The 20,025-nt window shown below is 41.4% G+C and overlaps 1 long non-coding RNA gene across 2 annotated transcripts; it reads left to right on the forward strand.

Moving 5' to 3' along the window:
* Nucleotides 1-180: 180 nt before the first annotated feature.
* On the forward strand, nt 181-19,044 carry LOC124902519 (uncharacterized). Of its 2 annotated transcripts, XR_007062324.1 has the most exons (3): nt 181-307; nt 4,899-4,966; nt 10,145-19,044. It is a non-coding gene; the product is annotated as an uncharacterized LOC124902519 (long non-coding RNA). The 2 variants fall into 2 exon arrangements; XR_007062325.1 differs by lacking the exon at nt 4,899-4,966.
* Nucleotides 19,045-20,025: the final 981 nt, after the last annotated feature.

A 20,025-nucleotide genomic window follows, 5' to 3' on the forward strand; every position in this document is an offset into this window, starting at 1 on the left:
CAGGCAAAGCGACTTCCGGCTCACTCCGCTTCAAGTACCCGCCGCTTCTTGCTTTGGTGGGGAGAGCAGGCACCAGAGACACGCATGCGCATGTGCCAGCTGGCCTCAGGCGCGGCGTTCAAAGTGTGCGGGGAGGAGGTCGAGAGCGGAGCATGCGCACTGGCAGACCCTTGCTCTTTCGCTGGAGACTATGCGCAGGCGCGGTGCACTGCGCGCCGGCACGAGGGTGTTTTCGACGTTGGCTGTGGGGAAACAGCAAGCGGCGTGGACGACCGTTGCTGAGCTGGTGTGGAACGTCTGTGATCAGGTAGGTGTAGTCTCGTCGCTCTACGCTGCGTGCAAGACCGACTCCTGACCTCGTTCTTTCCCAAGGGGACGCCAGGGCCTTTTCTGCTTCCATTCCGTCGGATCTGCAGCATTTGTGGCAGCTAGCGCGGCGGACGCGCTGCCGATTCGGGTTATTTTTACTTCGAATTCTCCTAGCCTCCCTCACACATATTCTCGCTTTAGAGGGGGGCTGAAGCGGATGATGGGGTTTTGGGGTTGAAGGGCATCTGTGATGGGCATTGAGCCACGCTGGCCTTCGCCGGGTGCTGTCTCAGCTGACGCCCCCTGACCCCATGTGCAACCCTCAGGCCGCAGGAACCCGGGCATCCAGGGCTGGACGCTCTAGGTGACAGAAATTTGAAATGCAAGAAAGACCCAGACACCGAAGGCAGGGGCTGCCCCATGAGATCGCTCCTCATGGCACTGGAAACAGCGAGTGGAAAGGGGGGGTCTCAGAACTCTGTTGAAGTAGAATATGAACTCAGTCTTGAAGGAACTTAAGGCTACGGATGCAGAACAGTGGGAGCAGATGGAACTTTCTAGATGCCCCACGGGATGGGACTGTATATAGTGTGCCCCCTCATCCTCCTCCTGTAGAGGCTTGTGCAGATTATTTTTCTGTCTTTTGAAAAAAGCAAACTCTGAAATTCCACTTGTCTATAATCTAGAGTTCCAAAGTTGTGTTTAAGGTGGTATCCTCTCTAGGAAATAACGTTTTTGCTCACCCATACTCTAATTTTCTTTCAGAGCTGTCTATTCTGGGTTCATGACTCAGTGCGCATTACTTTAATCTTTTTGCTTATGTTTTCGTTTGAGTTTATGTACTAGGACTTGTGCCCTCTAGCTAAAAATGAGAATAAACTTTGCATTCTGTTTACCTGTGTCAAAGCAAGAAAAATGATGACCAAATGTATTTTTCTATAAGTAATCACCAGAATGTACGTATGGTAGGTGAATTCACCAAGATTGAAAGAGAGAAATGTCACCAAAGGTCTATCATAGCAGAATTGTAAAGTCCTCGTTTGCAAAGATTTTTTTAATATTTCAGACTCATTCTAAGTTGTCCTTGTCATTATTTTTGTCCTGTATGTCCTGCTTCCTGTGGTTGTAAGTTAACTTTGATCCACATTAATACATGTGGACAATCCGAAGGAAAATAGGCTCTTCAGAAACTAATCTGCAATTTCATGAGCAATAGCAATATTATAAACTGGATTTTGACTTCCTTAAATAAAGCTGAATGTCCAGGAATCAGAAAACAAAAGATTCCTATGGTCTATCCTTTCCTTTATTTCCATACAGCCAATAAACCACCAAGTCTTCATTTTCTTAAAGAAAAATTTTCCTATCTCTGCTTCTTCTGTTTCCAAGCACTAGCTTTATCTGAACAATTCCAGGAGTTTGTCAGTAGCTTTCATTTTGATTCCTTCCATTTCAGTCTTTGCACTGCCCTCTTCTCCTTCTGGTGATCAATGTTCCTGACTGAATCAACACCTTCACTCCTTAGCATAGCATGCAGAGTCCTTTGTACTTTGAACCCTGCCTACCTTCCAGTTTCCTCTACCTAGAATGCCATTTTTTTCAATAGTAGGAAAAATCCTATTTATCATGCGAAACCAAGCTTACTTCATCCTGCTACAGAATTAAACAAATTCCTCTGTGCTACAATTACCACTTTTTTAGGTAGTATAATTCTCCTTTGATGTCAGACTTTGCCTGTTTATATATCTGTGTTCCCTACTATCTGCATGCTTGCTGAGATAGACATTATGTTGAGTACAGGTTTGTTGTATGGAATTGATAGGTTGGTGACAGCTTTTATCACATAAACTAAGAGCAGCAGAAAAAGGAAAATTAGTACATTCAATCTTAAGCTTTTTTCCAAAGCCAGGATGGTTATGGTTCAAAGCTGACTTCAATCTTAATATGATACATTATTCTTGTCATGAATTACAAGTGAGTTTTTTGCTTTACTTTTCTCTTTGAAGTAAATCAGAAAATATAGTTGGTGATATGGTTGGCTGTGTCCCCACCCAAATGTCATCTTGAATTGTGGCTCCCATAATTCCCACTTGTTGTGGGAGGGACCCCGTGGGAGATAACTGAATGGTGGGGGCAGTTTCCCCCATACTGTTCTCGTGGTAGTGAATAAGTCTTGGGAGATCTGATGGTTTTATAAGGGGAAGCGCCTTTCGCTTCGCTCTCATTCTCTCTTTCCTCTGCCTTGCTCTTCTGCCATGATTGTGAGGCCTCCCCAACCAACCACATGGAACTGTGAGTCCATTAAACCTTGTCTTTATAAATTACCCAGTATCAGGTATGTCTTTATCAGCAGCGTGAAGATGGCTAATACAGTTGGAAATTTCCCACCAGTAATGATATGCAAGAACTCAATATTTAGGAGCATATTTCAAATCTGTTTTCAGAATATGAGCCAACGCACATTTGAAAGGTACATTTTAGAAAAAAGTAACTTAGGATACTAATTTTCTTGAGCACATTCATTTAGTAATGCCACAGTTTAGATGTTTTGACTATCTTAAGTAGATTGAGTTCTTACTATATATGCCCTGCCTTTTACACAGGAGTATACTTCCCAGCAAGGTGGTTATAGGAACTTAACTTCCTTCTCAGGACCACTTGAGTTGTACCTTCTCTCCTCCTTTCCCTCTCTTCTGGTCCTTGCAGGTCCCACAGTTGCCAGGAATTCCTTCTCACCCTGCCTCAATACAGGGCCTGCAATTTTAACAGAGTGGAAAAGAACAACCTTCCTATCTTTTTCTCCCAACTTCATTTATAGCTGCTTTCTACCTCATTTTAACTAGAACCTCTGTTCTAGTTAGAAACATTGTTAGACTGTATATCATTTTCAATACAACCTTTCTGAGGAAATGTAGAAATGCTGCAGAAGCTCTCGAACTAGAGCTGAATCTGTGCCCGCATCCATGATTATCACCTGTATGACGCTTTCTTATCCTAAAACTCTTATGCAATAGTCGATGGCCATACCACCCTGAACATGCCCAATCTTGTCTAAAACTGTTATGCAATAAAGGGTTAACTCAGGAAGTCTGGGAGGTTCAAACCCTGCAGCTTCCAAAGAAGTTGGCTCTTGACCAGCTCTGGGAAGATGACCGCTAACCTATTGGAATGTCCTGCCTGATAAGAGTGTCTTTGTATACCTAGCTAGCTTATATCAACAGTGTGATTTATATAGTAAGGCCACACTTGAGACACACTCTGTCAGTTTGATCTCTGGAGCTCAATTTTAAATAATTATTTAAAATTAAATAAATAATACTCTATACCTATCTAGATACAAAGAAAGGTTTTTCAGGGTGAGGTAGGTGGGAATCACATAACCATATCTTGCTGCTAACTGTGGGCTTTATAACAGAGTTCCTTAACACTTCGGTTTCAGAACCCTTTTACACCTTTATAGCTTTCTAATTAAAAAATCAACAACATTGTTCTTGAGTCTGTAGTAACGTACACTAATAGGAATGAGTACTTAAAGAATGGATTGAAAAGATAACCACTGGGTCCCTCCCACAACAAGTGGGAATTATGGGAGCTACAATTCAAGATGACATTTGGGTGGGGACATAGCCAAACCATATCACCAACTATATTTTATGGTTTATTTAAAAGGGAAAAAGGAAAAATCCACTCCAGCTTCAGGACACCTGGCTTAAAATAAACTTTCTTAATGGACCCATTTCGTAAAAATGGTTTTATCCTGTTTCCTTGGGAACTTGGCAATAACTTAGAGGGTTTTAGAGTCTTAAAGGAAGGTCTGGGTGAATAAACTCTTTTTTTATGTTAACAAAGGAAAATAGCATCCAAGCTAAATCAGCTGTAGGATTTGTTATGTTTCGTTATGCATTCATGGCACTTGCACCTTCAGAAGAAGTAACTCATCAAAAATTCTGCATAATATGCTGTCAACTCATTTGTAATATTGCACGTTTCCTACAGAAATAATCCATCTTTGTGCAGAATGATAGAATTTTGAGGTAAGTTTATTAACATCCCTTCAGGAATATGTTGTACTGTTGGGTTGCAGGTTAAGGGGAAGCCACAGAATCCTTTTTACCAGTTTTACTTTTGATAGCCGTGCTTTTGTATACAACATACTATGATGTAGTGTAAATACACCTGACAGCAATAACTTAAGCATACCCTTAGAATGACCCTCTATGGCAGATGTACCTGAATGTGTGTTCTGAGCTAGGGAATCCAGGGCATGGCCATCTTGGGGATTCGTTTCTTATCTATGATAAACATCTGATGCCCCAGACTTTCCCGTAGAACTTGGGCAGCACAGGAGATTGAGGCCCTGAGTTTTGAGTTAGATGAAGGTTGCCAGGTAGAGGTCATTATGGGGAGATTGTTAAGTGAAAATGCTATATAAACTGCATGCTCTTTGCAGGCAGTTGTAGTTTTCATGCCCAGCCCCTGCCACTGGGCTGTGCAATTATGTTGTCTAGTCTGCCGCCACTGGACTCTCCCATTTGTAAGCCCCTAATAAAACCCATGTCTCGTTTGCTGGCTCTCGGTTTCTTCTTTAGCTTCTTGAACCTGATGCCTTCTCTAGTGAGGTTAATGGGGCTTCTGCACAACATATGAACAGCCAAATGTAAGTTTTATTAATTTTTAATTATATTTTTCTTTACTTATTGTGGACATTTTACTTTCCTCACTTTCTCTCTTCAAATCAAGTATGAGCTTTTTAAATAGCAGCAGCTGTCTTTAGTTACATGTGAATCCCCAGCATTTAATGCATTGTCTGGTACACAAATATAAAGTGAATATTGAATAAGTAACAGCCTTAAAATACAAGGCCCTCTTATTAAACTGTTAAATTGTTTATAATTACTTTATAAATTATAATAATTTATAATTATACATTTATCTTTATAATTACTTTAAACATATAACAGTGGTAGGAAGTAAGAACACAGTGAGGAAGACCAGTGGAAATCTGTGGGAACTGCTTTTTTCCAAAGTTGTGTTGAAAGCTTCAGAAACCAAGGAATTGAAACCTATTTCATCATTGTTTCTAAATAGCAGGGATTGATAATATGCAGATCCTCCATTAGCAGAGATGGATCTTGTAGCTTTGTTCTTTCCTCAGACATTTTGGTGGTTCTTAGGGTTACTGAGATTGATGATTCTTCTAGGTCTACCCGCTTTCAGCGGATTTCATAATTGCTTTTAACCTCACAATACCAGGAACAGAGTAATCTTGGGGAAATAAACACTAGATATTGTCAGATTAGTTAAAGATATAGTAATGTTTGAGTATCTGGCTCACATTTTAGGATACCTTTATTACGTTTTTATAAAAATTCAATAAGAAGATCAGACTGGTGACTTGAAAATGACATTGATGTTGAGTTTTAAAAAAAAGGAGCCAATTGGCTTATAAATTTTATATGGACCTGTATTTTGTAGGAGGAGTTGTTGAAATGGGTGTAAACAATACCTCACTGGAGAGTAAAATAGGAAAGTTCATTTTCACAGGCCCGTGAATTTTTGGCGGCCAAGGGGACAAACATTTATTAAATGTCTACTAAGGTATAAATAACATGTTTTAGACCATCTCAGCAACTAGAAGTGAGATTTTTGCAGAGGTTGTGAATAAGTCGTGCTGGCAAAGCAAAGGTGAAACAGTTCGAGGTAATTTTTTTTTTTTTTTAAACAGAGTCTAGCTCTGTCGCCCAGGCTAGAGTGCAGTGGCGCGATCTTGGTTCATTGCAACCTCTGCCTGCTGGGTTCCAGTGATTCTCGTGCCTCAGCCTCCCGAGTAGCTGGGGCTACAGGCATGCACTACCATTCCTGGCTAATTTTTGTATTTTTAGTAGAGATGGGGTTTTGCCATGTTGCCCAGGCTGGTCTCAAACTCCTGGCCTCAAGTGATCCACCCACCTGGGCCTTCCACAGTGCCTGGATTACAGGCGTGAGCCACTGTGCCTGGCCATCCAAGGTATCTTTAAAGGTGAAATTCTTTTTGTAACTAGAGTTTCAGAAAGCTTAGCTCTATAAATTAGTAAAGAAGGGAAAAGATGGGCAAAAGTAGTGAGGGGTGGAGTTTTACTTGCCATTGCTGTGATTAAGAAAATCTGGGCTTCGGCAGCTAGACTGTTAGCAATTTCTGTTACCAATTACAGAACCCAATTGCTGAGTTGGTAGAATACTATGAAAGAAACTAGAGGAGAAAGCCTTCTTCTAAAGATACTGGGGATGGCAGAGGTGGAATCTCAGATTTTCTAAGATGTCTGAGTGTCCTTTTGAGGATGTCATTCATTATAGATATCAGGGTATTTAGACTCAGAGTTGTCTGTCACCTTGCTGTTTCTGCTCACTTATTCCCGGATGAATACAATTCCCCTTAAGGACAATTAACATGTTTGGAACAGGAATCTGGATCAAAGTGAATTGAAAGCTGTCTTAGGAACAGCATGGGAAAATTTAGCTGAGGCTGAAATTGGAAGTAGGTGCTGGGTACTTCCTGCAGCGTATGCGGTAGTCAGAAGACCTAATAGGTAAGGCAAGAACCTCATGCATTGCCCAGGGCTCTAAGTGACAGCACTGAAAGAACAGCCAGTAAGGTGAGGTGGGTCAAGTAGCCCTACCCTGAGTTCAAAGCAGAATGACTATTCCAGCATGAAGCATTACTACCAACATCATTGCTTCTCTGAGGATCAGAAGGGACAGAGTGATGACAACTGAAGCTGAACTTATTCAGTGACAATGCCTATGTGACTTAACCAATCTAATATAATTGTGATTTAAATCAACTTTAACAACAAATCTTTAATAGGAGTGATCTGTGCCCCTTCAGGTTATATGTTTGTATGTGAGGAAAGTTGGCCTCATCTCCACTGGGGATGAGGATTGCTTTTTGGCTCATTTATTGCCCCCTATAATTAATGGCAATGACACCAAAGACCAGGTTAGTCCAAACATGAGTACTTGTACCCAACAGAGTGATAAAAGTTTGAATCCCTTTTCTCTGCAAAGTTCCTTAGCATACTCAATTTTTTCCTTAAAGCAGCTGAGGTTTAGGTAAAGGGAGAGGCAAAAGGCTGCACAAAGGGGCAGAGTCACTCAGTGCCAGGAAGCAAGATTTACTTTAAGATTCAGGCTGGGCATGGTGGCTCATACCTGTAGTTCCATCACTTTGGGAGGCTGAGCCAGGCAGATTGCTTGAACCCAGGAGTTGGAGACCAGCCTGTGCAACATGGTGAAACCTCATCTCTCCAAAAATACAAAAATTAGCCGGCATGGTGGTGTGTGCCTGTGGTCCCAGCTAGGAGGATCTCTTAAGCCCAGGTGGAGGTTGTGGTAAGCCAAGATCGTTCCACAGCACTTCAGCCTGAGTGACACAGTGAAACCGTGTCTGAAAAAAAAAAAAAAAAAAAAAAAAAAAGCAGCAAGCAACTGCCTGCTCAGGCACACAAAATGAACTGCTTTACCTCTGCCCAAGCTGTATATCTTCATTGATAACACCACTTATTTGAGCTTTGGGCACTCCATGGCACAGTAGCCACAACCACATTGCCTATCAGCTGGGGTAAATAGGGATTGCTGTCCCTTTGTCCTGATAACATTCCTTCCTCTTCCCACTCAAAGAAGCAACAACCAAGTTGCCATTTAGGCACCTTGTTTCAATCCTGCCTCTTACCACTCAGCCAATATAAATTTAACAGATAGCATGCTGGTGGACTTTTACCCTTCACCTACCTACGACTTGGACAAAAGCATTTGCTTCTAGGTCTTGGGTAGTTTTGAATCTTCTAGCTTGGCCCTCAGGACCTTTTGTTCTTTCTTTTCTAGAAAGCAACTGCATTCTGTCTTCATCATCATCATCACCAAAACTGTCATGAACTATATAAGCTCTGAGATTTTACCCTATATACTTAGCTTACTCACAAGCTAATCAGCTAGAAGCTGTTACTCTTTCATGATTAGTGGCAGAAGATAAAAGACTCCTGGGTCAGAGACTAAGGACTTTATTACTCACAGCAAAGCAATAACCACAGCTTCATGTCGGCTTTTTCTATTTCCCATTCCTTTACTCCCACAGTGATGACACACGGGGCCAGTGATGGGTACCTATACACTCAGGGAGTTGTACTGCAAAACAGGAACACTGTTTTTTTGCAAGATCCACTGCGTTTGTAGCAAACAGAAGCAAGCTTGCTTTCTGTCTGGAGGAAGACATGATTTCATTTCTGAAAATTGCTCACTGCACTTCATCTTTCAAGATTGCTGATTGAAACATAATCCTAAGAAATAACTTAGGTAAAGAGCAGTCAGCATTTTATTATTGCCATACTATGGGCAAAGGGACACTAAGGGCAAAGGGACACCAAGGGCACATGGAAAATTGCTTCAATCAGCAGGTATAATCTTTAATGGAGGGGAATTTGGCAATATCTAACAAAACTACATATGCATTGGCCTTTTGACTCTGCTCCTATTTCTTAAGATTTTAACCTGAAGATATGGGTTAAGTAATACAGAAATATAAACACTCAATATTTTTTATTTCAGAATCATTTTAAAATGTTGGAAACCTAAATGTCCAGACATAGGAGAGTGGTTGAATTAAATATTGTACGTCCACACAATAGAGTACTATGCTGCCACAAAAAAGAATGAAGATTTCTATGAAGTGATACAGAGTGATTTTCAGGATATACTTTATGAAGGGGAAAAAAAAGTAAAGTGAAAAAAATTTATGTAATGCTACCTTTGTATAAAAAGGAAAGGGAAGGTTAAATACACATGCCTATTTTGTTTTGTTTTTGAGATAGGATCTCGCTCTGTTGCCAAGGCTGGAGTGCAGTGGCACAATCACAGCTCATTGCAGCCTTGACTTTCAGGCTCAAGTGATCCTCCCACTTTAGCCTCCCAAGTTGCTGGGACTACAGGGATGTACCGTCATGTCTATATATTTAAAAAAAAAATTGTAGAGACAGGGGTCTTGCTGTGATTTCAGAGTTGGTCTCAAACTCTTGGGCTCAACCAGTCCTCCTGCTTTGACCTCCCAAAGTGCTGTGATTATAGGTGTGAGTCACCACACCTGGCCTCACATGCCTATATTTGCAAAAAGAAATACAGGAAAGAAATGAAAATCAAATGTGATTGGTTACCTACAAGAATTGGGTAGGAATGGCACAGATAAGATGGAAGGTAACCATGTTAATGTTTTGTGTACTCAAATATAATAAAAATCAACAAATATAAGGAGAAAAAATAGCCCAGGGAACTTCTGAAGGCACTGTTTTGAGCATCAAGCCATGCATGCATGGGGGAGACATTTCAGCCAAAATAAATTAACTGAAATTTGAACAACTGCTCATTGCAGGTAAGACAGAGTGAGTTTTTAGTTTTATTTCTGCCAGGTTAACTGTTATCTTTAAAAAAAAAAATCAATTTAAAAAGTCCAGAATCTCTACAGCATATCATCCACAATGTTGAGAACATAATCCAAAATTACTTGGTACACAAAATGCAAGAAAATGTGGCCCATTCTTAAGCAAAAAGACAATCAATGGAGAAAAGTGAGAAGACAAGGGCTGTGGTTTGAATGTGTTCCCCAAAGTTCATGTGTTGAAAACATGATCCCCAATGTGACACTATTAAGAGATGGGGTCTTTAAGATATGATTCGTGAGGCAGATCCCTCATGAATGAATTAATGTTATTATTGCAAGAGTGAGCTATCACAGGAATGGGCTCCTACTGAAAGAATGTTTGGCCCACTATTCTCTGTCTCACATGTTTGCTTCCTCCTTCTGCCATAGGATTACCCTCTCCAGATGCTGGTGCCATGCTCTTGGACTTCCCAGCCTCCTAGAACTGTGAGAAAAAAAATTTAAAGAATTAACAGGAGGTGGCCAAGATGGTCAACTAGAAGTAGCTAGTGTTTGTGGCTCTCACAGAAACAAATGGAAGGAGAGAGTAAATAACAGCACCTTCAACTGAAACATGCCGGTAGTCACTTTGGGAATAATCAAGGAAACAACCCACAAAGAACAGAGAAAAGCAAGGCAGGAAAATGGCCCATCTGGAAGCAGCACAGAGCCAAGGGAGCCTCCCCTGCCCAGGGAAGTGGTGAATGAGTGTGTCACCCCGGGAACCCACACTTCTCTCACAGATCTTTGCAACCCTTGGGTTGGGAGATCCTGTCGTGAACCCATTTCACCAGGGCTTTCAGTCTGACTGACACACAGAGCTACAGGGAGTCTCAGCAGAGGCCCCACAAAGGGACACATGGAGACTTGGGAGCCTTAGATACTAGATGGCTTTCTGGGCATCCCAGCAAAAGCAGATGCAACTCCAGCAAACTGGGAGATGAGACACCCCACCCCGTACATACCCCTAGGAAAGAGGCTGAATCCAGAGGGCTGAGCAGCAACAGTCTACAGGCCCCACTTCCAAGGCACCTCACAGGATAAGACCCACTGGCTTGGAATTCCAGCCAGCCACCGGTAGCCAAGTTGGAGCTCCTGGGGGAGGGGAAGGGCACCATCTTTGCTGTTTGGGCAACTTAACCATACCAGCCTTTGGGCTTTGGAAAGTCCAAGCCAACCAGGGGTGGAAGGGATTCCCCAGCATAGCACAGCTGCTCTACAAAAACATGGCCAGACTTTTTGCAAAGATCTGTGAGAGAAGTGTGGGTTTCCAATCCTGTTTCTCCTTTCTGGGTGGGACCTCCCAGCTGGGGTCTCCAGCCACCCCTGCCAGTCAGAGTTTTGAAACCTCCCTGGGACTAAGCTTCCAGAAGGAAGGGCAAGCTGCCATCTTTGCTGTTTAGGTGACTTAGCCATTCCAGCCTTCATGCCAACCACAGGGTAGAAGCGGTACCCAAGCAGAGCACAGCTGCTGTATGAAAATGTGGCCAGACTGCTTCTTTAAGTAGGTCTCTGATTCTGTTCTTCCTCATGGGGCAGGACCTCCCAACTGGGGCCTCCAGCCACCCCTGCTGGCGTTCTCTGGCCATGAACACCTGCAGGGAGACAGGCACCCCCATATCCACTAGCACTCTGCTGCAGCTGCCACGCCACAGCACTTCCCAGCACAGTGGACCGTAAACCACGAGGAGCCACGGGACAATGGCAGGGTTCAATATGAGTCCCCCAGAGTTAGAGAACGCAGTCCAGGAGTTGGAATCTGAGCTTTGGCCCCCTAAAATCTCTCAAAAATGAAGCCAGTTGACAGAATTCACCTTATACCACAATCAAACCCTCAAGGTCATCAAATAGGATAAAACAAACAAACAAAAAAACCAAAGGTCAGCAACCTCAAAGATTGAAGATCAGCGCAAGAATGATGAAAACTCAAAAAGCCAGAGTGCCTTCTTCCCTCCAAAGGACTGCATCACCTCCAGTAAAGGTTCAGAACTGGGCTGAAGCTGAGAAGGCTGAAATGACAGAAGTAGAATTCAGAGTATGGATAGGTACAGAGTTCATTGAACTACAGGTATATGTTGTAACCCAATACAAGGAAGCTAAAAATCATAATAAAACATTGTAGGAGCTGACAGACAAAATAGCCAGTATAGAGAAGAACATAACTTAGCTGATAGAGCTGAAAAACACATTACAAGAATTTCATAATGCAGTCACAAATATTAATAGTAGAATAGACCAAGCAGAGGAAAGAATCTCAGAGCTTAGGGACTAGCTTTATGAAATAAGGCAGACAAGAATAGAGAAAAAAGAATAAAAAGGAAATGACAAAACCTTCAAAAAATATGGGATTATGGAAAGAGACCAAATCTATAACCAATTGGTGCACCTGAAAGAGATATGAATAAAACCAACTTGGAAAACATATTTCAGGATGGCATTCATGAGGACTTCCTTAACCTAGCTAGAGAGGCCAACATTCAAATTCAGGAAATGCAGAGAAGCCCCAGTAAGATACTTCACAAGAAGATCATCCCAAGGACATATAATCATCAGATTCTCCAAGGTCAAGATGAAAGAAAAAATGTTAAAGGCAGAGAAGAAAGGCCAGGTCACATATGAAGGGAAGCCCATCTTACTAATGGTGGACTTCTCAACTGAAACCCTACAACCCAGAAGATATTGGGGGCCAATATTCAACATTCTTAAATGCCAACCCAGAATTTCATATCTGGCCAAACTAAGTTTCATAAGCAAAGGAGAAATAAGATCCTTTTCAGACAAGCAAATGCTCAGGGAATTTGTTACCACCAGACCTGCCTTACAAGAGCTCCTAAAGGAAGCACTAAATATTGAAAGGAAAGACTATTTACCAGCCACTTCAAAAACATGCTGAAGTACACAGACCAGTGACACTATAAAGGAGCCACATGTAAAAAGTCTGCAAAATATCCAGCTAACATCATGATGACAAGATGAAGTCCACACATATCAACACTAACCTTAAATGTAAATTGACTAAATGCCCCCAATTAAAGGACACAGAGTGGCAAGCTGGATAAAGAGCCAAGACCCACTGGTATGCTGACTTCAAGATACCCATCTCACATGCAGTGACACACACAGGCTCAAAATAAAGGGATGAAGAAAAATCTACCAGGCAAATGCAAAACAGGAAAAAGCAGGGGTTTCAATCCTAGTTTCTGACAAAACAGACTTTAAACCAACAAAGATTAAAAAAAAAGAGAAGGGCATTATATAATGTTAAAGGGTTCAATATAACAAGGAGACCTAACTATCTGAAATACATATGCACCCAACACAGAAGCACCCAGATTCATAAAGCAAGTTCTTGGAGGCCTTCAAAGAGACATAGACTCCCACACAATAATAGTGGGAGACTTTAACACCCTACTGACAATATTAGATCGAGACAGAAAATTAACAAAGATATTCAGGACCTGAACTCAGCACTAGATCAAGTGCTCCTGATGGATATCTACAGAACTCTCCGCACCAAAACAGTAGAATATACATTCTTCTCATCGATGCATGGCACATACTCTAAAATTGATCACATAAACGTTAGCAAAACACTCCTCAGCAAATGCAAAGAACTGAAATCATAACAGTCTCTTGGACCACAGTGCAATTAAATGAGAAATCAGGACTAGGAAATTCACTCAAAACCATACAATTATGTGGAAATTGAATAACCTGCACTTGAATGACCTTTGGGTGAATAATGAAATTGTATTGGAATTCCTAGCCAGGGCAGTCAGGTAAAAGAAAGAAAGAAAAGGCAGGAAGAGAGGAAGTCAAACTATCCCTATTTGCCGACAACTTGGTCCTGTATCTAGAAACCCCCATAGTCTCAGCCCAAAAGCTTCTTAAACTGATAACTCAAGCTCAGTCTCAGGATGCAAAACCGATGTGTAAAAATAACTAGCATTTCTATGCACCAACAGCAGGCAAGCCTAGAGCCAAATCAGAAATGAACTCCCATTCACAACTGCCACAAAAAGAATAAAATACATAGGAATACAGCCAACCAGGGAGGTGAAAGAGCTCTACAAGAACTGCAAACCGCTGCTCAAAGAAATCAGAGATGACACAAACATGAAAAAACATTCCATGTTTATGTATACAAAGAATCAGTGTCATGAAAATGGCCATACTGCCAAAAGCAATTTATACATTCAATGCTATTCCTTTTAAATTACCATTGAAATTCTTCACAGAACTGGACAAAAACTATTTTAAAATTCATATGGAACCAAAAAGCTCGAATAGCCAATGCAATTCTAAGCAAAAAGAACAAAGCTGGAGGCATCACACTACCTTACTTTAAAATATACTACAGGTCTACAGTAACCAAAACAGAATGGTTCTGGTACAAAAACAGACATGCAGACCAATGGAACAGAATAGAGAACCCAGCAATAAGACTGCACACCTACAACTATCTGATCCTCAACAAACCTGACAAAAACAAGCAATGGGAAAAGGTTCCCCTATTCAATAAATGGTGCTGGGATAACTGGCTGGCCATATGCAGAAGATCAATACTGGACCCCTTTCTTATACCATATACAAAAATTAATATGGAGTAAAGATTTAAATGTAAAACCCAAAGCTATAAAGATTCTGGAAGACAACCTAGGCAATACCATTCAGGACATAGGCATGACAAAGATTTTTGACAGACACCAAAGGCAATTGCAACAAAGGCAAAAATGGACAAATGGGATCTAATTAAACTAAAAGAGCTTCTTCACAGCAAAAGAAACTATCAACGGAGTAAACAGACAATCTACAGAATGGGAGAAAAGGGAAGTGCTACACACTTTAAAACAACCAGATCTCGTGAGAAGTCACTGTCATGAGTACAGCAAGGGGAAGTCCACCTGCATGATCCAGTCACCTCTCATCAGGCCCCTCCTCCAACAATGAGGATTACAACGACATGAGATTTGGGTTGGGACATAGAGCTAAACCATATCAGACATGAACACTTTTCAAAAAAAGATATACATGCAGCCAACAATCATATGAAAACAAGGTCAACATCACTCATCATTAGAGAAATGCAAATCAAAACCATAGTGAAATACCATCTCACACCAGTCAGAATGGCTGCTACTAGAAATAACATGCTGGTGAGGCTGCAGAGAGAAAGGAATGTTTATACACTGTTAATGGGAGTGTAATTAGTTCAACCATTGTGGTAGACAGTGTGAAAATTCCTCAAAGACCTAGAGACAGAAATACCATTTGACTGAGCAATCTCATTACTGGGTATATAGCCAAAGGAATATAAATTGTTCTACTGTAGAGAAACATGCATGCATGTTTGTTGCAGCACTATTCACAAGAGCAAACACATGGAATCAACTTAAAGGCCCTTTAATTATAGACTGAATAAAGAAAATGTACATATACACCATGGAATACTATGCAGCCATAAAAAAGAACAAGATCATTCTTTTTCTTGCAGGACATGGATGGAGCTGGAAGCCATTATCCTTAGCAAACTAATGCATGAATAGAAAACCAATTACTGCTTGTTCTCACTTGTAAGTGGGAGCTAAATGAGAACACATGGACACATAGAGAAGAACAACACACACTATCAGAAGGGTCCTATCAGAAGGTGGAAGGTGGGAGGAGGAAGAGGATCAGGAAAAATAACTAATGGGTAGTAGGCTTAATAACTAGCTGATTAAATAATCTGTACAACAAACCTCCATGACACAAGTTTATCTATGTACAAACCTGCACACATACCTCTGAACTTAAAAGTTTTTTTAAAAAAATATAAAAGGTTGGCCGGGTGCGAGTGGCTCACGCCTGTAATCCCAGCACTTTGGGAGTCCAAGGCAGGTGGATCACAAGGTCAGGAGTTCAAGACCAGCCTGGCCAATATGGTCTCTACTAAAAATACAAAAAAAAAAAAAAAATTAGCCCGGTGTGGTGGCAGGCGCCTGTAATCCCAGCTTCTCAGGAGGCTGAGGCAGGAGAATCACTTGAACCTGGGGGGTGGAGGTTGCAGTGAGCTGAGATCGCGTCACTGTACTCCAGCCTGGGCAACAGAGTGAAACTCCTTCTCAAAAAAATAAATAATAAAATAAAAAGTTACCAAGTCTGTGGTTTTCTGTTATAGCAGCAGAAAATAGACTAAGACAGAAAATTGGCACAAAGAACTGGGCATCATTGGTCAAGCCTGTAGTCCCAGCTACTTGGGAGGCTCAGTAGGCTTGAGGCCCTGGAGTTCGAGGCTCTAGTGTGTCATGTTCTTGCTTATGAATAACCACTGCACTTCAGCCTAGGCAATGTAGCAAGATCTCTTCTCCATTTAAGTAAATAATTTTTTTGTGACAAAAAAATGGTACCTAGAAATGGGGCTCTTGCTGTAACAAATACCTGAATATGTGGAAGTGGCTTTGAAACTAAAGTAATAGGCAGAGGCTGGAAGAGTTTGGAAGAGCAGCCTAGAAAAATGACCGTATTGCCATGAATGGAGCATTAGGGGCAATTGTAATGATTGTTTAAAAGAGGCAAGCTATAGGGGAAGTCTGAATCTTCTTTTAGATTACTTACATGGTTGTGACTGGCATGTTGGTAGAAATGTGGACTGTAGAGGCCATTCTGATGAGGTCTCAGACAGAAATGAGAAGGTATTGAAAACTGGAGTAAAGGCCATCCTGTTACAAAGTTGCAAAGACCTTGACTAGGTTATGTCCATACCCTAGGGCTTTATGAAATGGAGAATTTAAAAGCAATGAATTAGGATATCTGGCAGAAGAAACATCTAAGCAGCAAAGCACTCAGCCTGCTGTGTGGCTACTTTTAACTGCATTCAGTGAGATGTGAGAGCAAAGCCATGATTAAAGACAGAATTTACAATTAAAAGGAAAGTAAAGCAGAAAGATTTGGAAAACTCAGAGTCCAGCTATTACAGAGTGAACTTCACAGACTGGAAAACTTTGGGAGAGATTACTAAGCGTGTGGGCCAAGTGCTGTTTGCTAAAGAGATGACTGCTATAAGGGAGCCAGATATTCATCAAGATCATGGGGGAAAAGACTCAAAGGTATTTCAGAGATCTTTGAGGCTTCCCCTTCTACCACAGTCCCAGAGCTCTAGGAGGGAAGGATGTTTCTGGAGGCAGACCTGGGACATCTTCCACAGGCTCACTCTTCAGAGCTGCCTTGGGCCCCTGCTCCCCACATTTCATTGCAGCACCTCTTGGCCACCCCAGCTGTGGCTCAAGCAGGCCCAGGTGTGGCTCATGATACCATTCTGGAGGTTACAAACTGTAAACTTTGGTGGCATCTACATGGTACTAATTCTGCAGGTACACAGAATGTAAGAACTGTGGAGACATGTCTTCCTTCACCAAGACCTCAAAGGAAGGCATGGACAGCCTGGGTGCCCAGGCAGAGATGTATCACCAGGGTGGAGCCACTCAGAGGCTCACCAGGGCAGTGCCTAGTGGAGCTGTGGAAGTGGGGCCACCCCTAAGATCCTGGAACTTTAGGGACACCAGTCTGCAACTCCAGCCCAAGAGAACTGAAGCATGGACTGAGCCCTGCAAAGCCATAGGAACAGACCTGCCCAAGGTTTTGGGGGCCCAACCCCTCACCCCCAACAAGTTATAAGCTGTGTCCAGCATACAGGACATGGAGTCAAAGGAGATTATTCTCTGGTTTTAAGATTTAATGCTGTTTTTACTGTTGAGTTTTGAACTTAGGACCAGTTACCCCTTTCTTTTTGCTTATATCTCTATTTTGGAATGGGAATGTCTATCCTGTGTCTGTCCCACTATTGTGTTTTGGAAGTAGATAACTTGTTTTGATTTCACAAACTTAGAGCTGGAGGGAGTTTGCCCCAGGTGAATCAGGCCTTGAGTCTCAACCATATCTGATTTAGATGAGACTTCAGACTTTTGAGTTGATGCTGGAACAAGTTAAGACTCTGAGGCTATTGGGATGTAATCACTGTATTTTACATTGTGAAGACATAAATTTTGGGGGTTGGGGAAAAATGCTACAGTTTGTATGTATGCCCCAGAAGTTCATATGTTGAAAACAATTAATCTTCGATGTAACAGTATTAGGAATGGGGCTTTTAAGAGGTGATTAAGACATGAGGGCTCTTCCCTTATGAATGGATGAATGCTTTTATCATGGAAGTGGGTTAGTTACAGTGAGAGTGTGCAAAATACATTGAAATACATTGAGCATTTCACAGGAGAGTAAATATACACAGCCAAAAAACTGAAGGAACAAGTGAAGAGGTGTTCAACATTGTTAGTGATTAGGGAAATGCAAAGCAAGACCACAATGATACTTTATGTCCATTAGATTGGTAAAAATAAAAATCAAATGTTAAAGAAGATGTAGGTCTACTGGATTTTTAAAATGTTAATAGGAATGTAGATTGATGGAATCATTTTGAAAAATAGTTTGATATTATCTCCAAAACTTCAAGTCTAGCAGTTTTACACCTAAACATATACACAATAGTAATTGATGCATACATACAACTGGGGACATACACAAGAATGTTTATTGTAGCACCATTCACAATAGCAAAATCTTGAAACAACCATAATGCCCACCAACAAGATGAATAAATTATGATATATTTACATAATGAAATATTCAGCAGTCAAAATTAATGAACTACATCAATATACAGTACTATGGGTGACTCCCATTAATAAAAGTGAAAAAAGTTACATCCTAAAAGGTTACAAATAGCATACCATTTTTGTAATTTGTTTTAAACATAAAATTTTTCAGGACTATAAGTACAAAAAGAGGATGAACATGGGATTTCAAATGATGGTTATTTGGGGTGGATGAAAATGCATAAATTTCATTGCAGAAATATTAATTTATTTGATTACTAATATATGTATTATGTATTAATGTATTTTTATTAGACACCCACTGAGCATGTAATGTATTATATGTATTGCCTACTAAACTCCAAAATATTACTAATTTCAAACTACATCTGGATACAGTGGTTTCAGTTAAGAGCTTGTGAATCTGTAGAGGCCTGGAATGAAAGGCAGAAATGGAGATATATTTTGAAGATAAAATGGAGGAGACTTGCAGATAAACTTGATTTGGGGGTGAAGAAGAGGGAAGGATCGAGGATGACTGCTAGGTTAGCTGGGCTAAAGGTAGTGTCCTTTCTTGAAATGGGGAATGGGAATGTGGACTACATAGGTTTGGGAGGGTAATCACATTGATCTGGTATTAATAAATGCTTAAATCCGTAACAGTTGCAGTTTGACTGACCTTGATGTAATTTTCAAATACTATTTCCCTGTACATTCCTTCTCAGCTGCCCTGACTCTGGGAGATGGCTGTCAATCTCTGGTCCATTTTCCCTCTGTGGATAAATAGAGTTTCTAATTCCTGGCTCAGTTGATTCTTTTGTTCCACACAGGCTCTCTTGGTAGGGAGTAGGTTGTCACTAGCCTCTTCCACAGTCACTCAATTTCTGTTGTTTTCACTTAATTTTCCCACCAGGCTTTCTTCTGACATAAAGGTTTTTTGGAAGTGTCAGTCCACCAAACATATACTGAGCTCAGAGGGAACAATGGAAGCTACGACAGTTGCTGGCCTGGGAAAAAGACCTCTGCCAACAAGGGGTGATGGAGATGTCTTGACCCATTTAATTTTGCTATAGACAATACCTGAGGCTGGTTAGTTTACAAAGAGGCTTATATGGCTCATGATTCTGTGGATTGTGCAAGAAGCATAGAGCCAGCATTTGCTCCTGTTAATGGCCTCAGGCTGCTTCTACTTGTCATGGAAAGTGGAGAGCCTGCATGTGCAGAGATCATATGGTGAGAGAGGAAGCAAGAGGGGAGACACCAGGCCCCTAACAACCAGGTCTCATGGGAACTAATAGAGCAAGAACTCACTTCTCCCTCCCCAGGAAGGGAATTACTCTATTCCTGAAGGATTCATCCTTGATGTAGTTTGAATATATGTCCCCACTAAATCTCATGTTGAATTGTAATCCTCAATGTTGGATGTGGGGCCTGGTGGGAGGTGTTTGGGTCATGGGTGCAGATCACTCATGACTTGGTGCTGTCCTCATGATAATGAGTTCTCACAAGATCTAGTTGTTTAAGTGTGTTTCACTTCCCGCTCAACTCTCTCATGCTCCTGCTTTCACCATGTGACATGCCTGCTCCTGCTTGGCTGTCTGCCATGAGTAAAAGCTCCCAGAAGCTGAACACATGCCGGTG

This window comes from Homo sapiens, chromosome 10, assembly GCF_000001405.40.
Source record: "Homo sapiens chromosome 10, GRCh38.p14 Primary Assembly".
Classification (NCBI taxonomy): domain Eukaryota; kingdom Metazoa; phylum Chordata; class Mammalia; order Primates; family Hominidae; genus Homo; species Homo sapiens.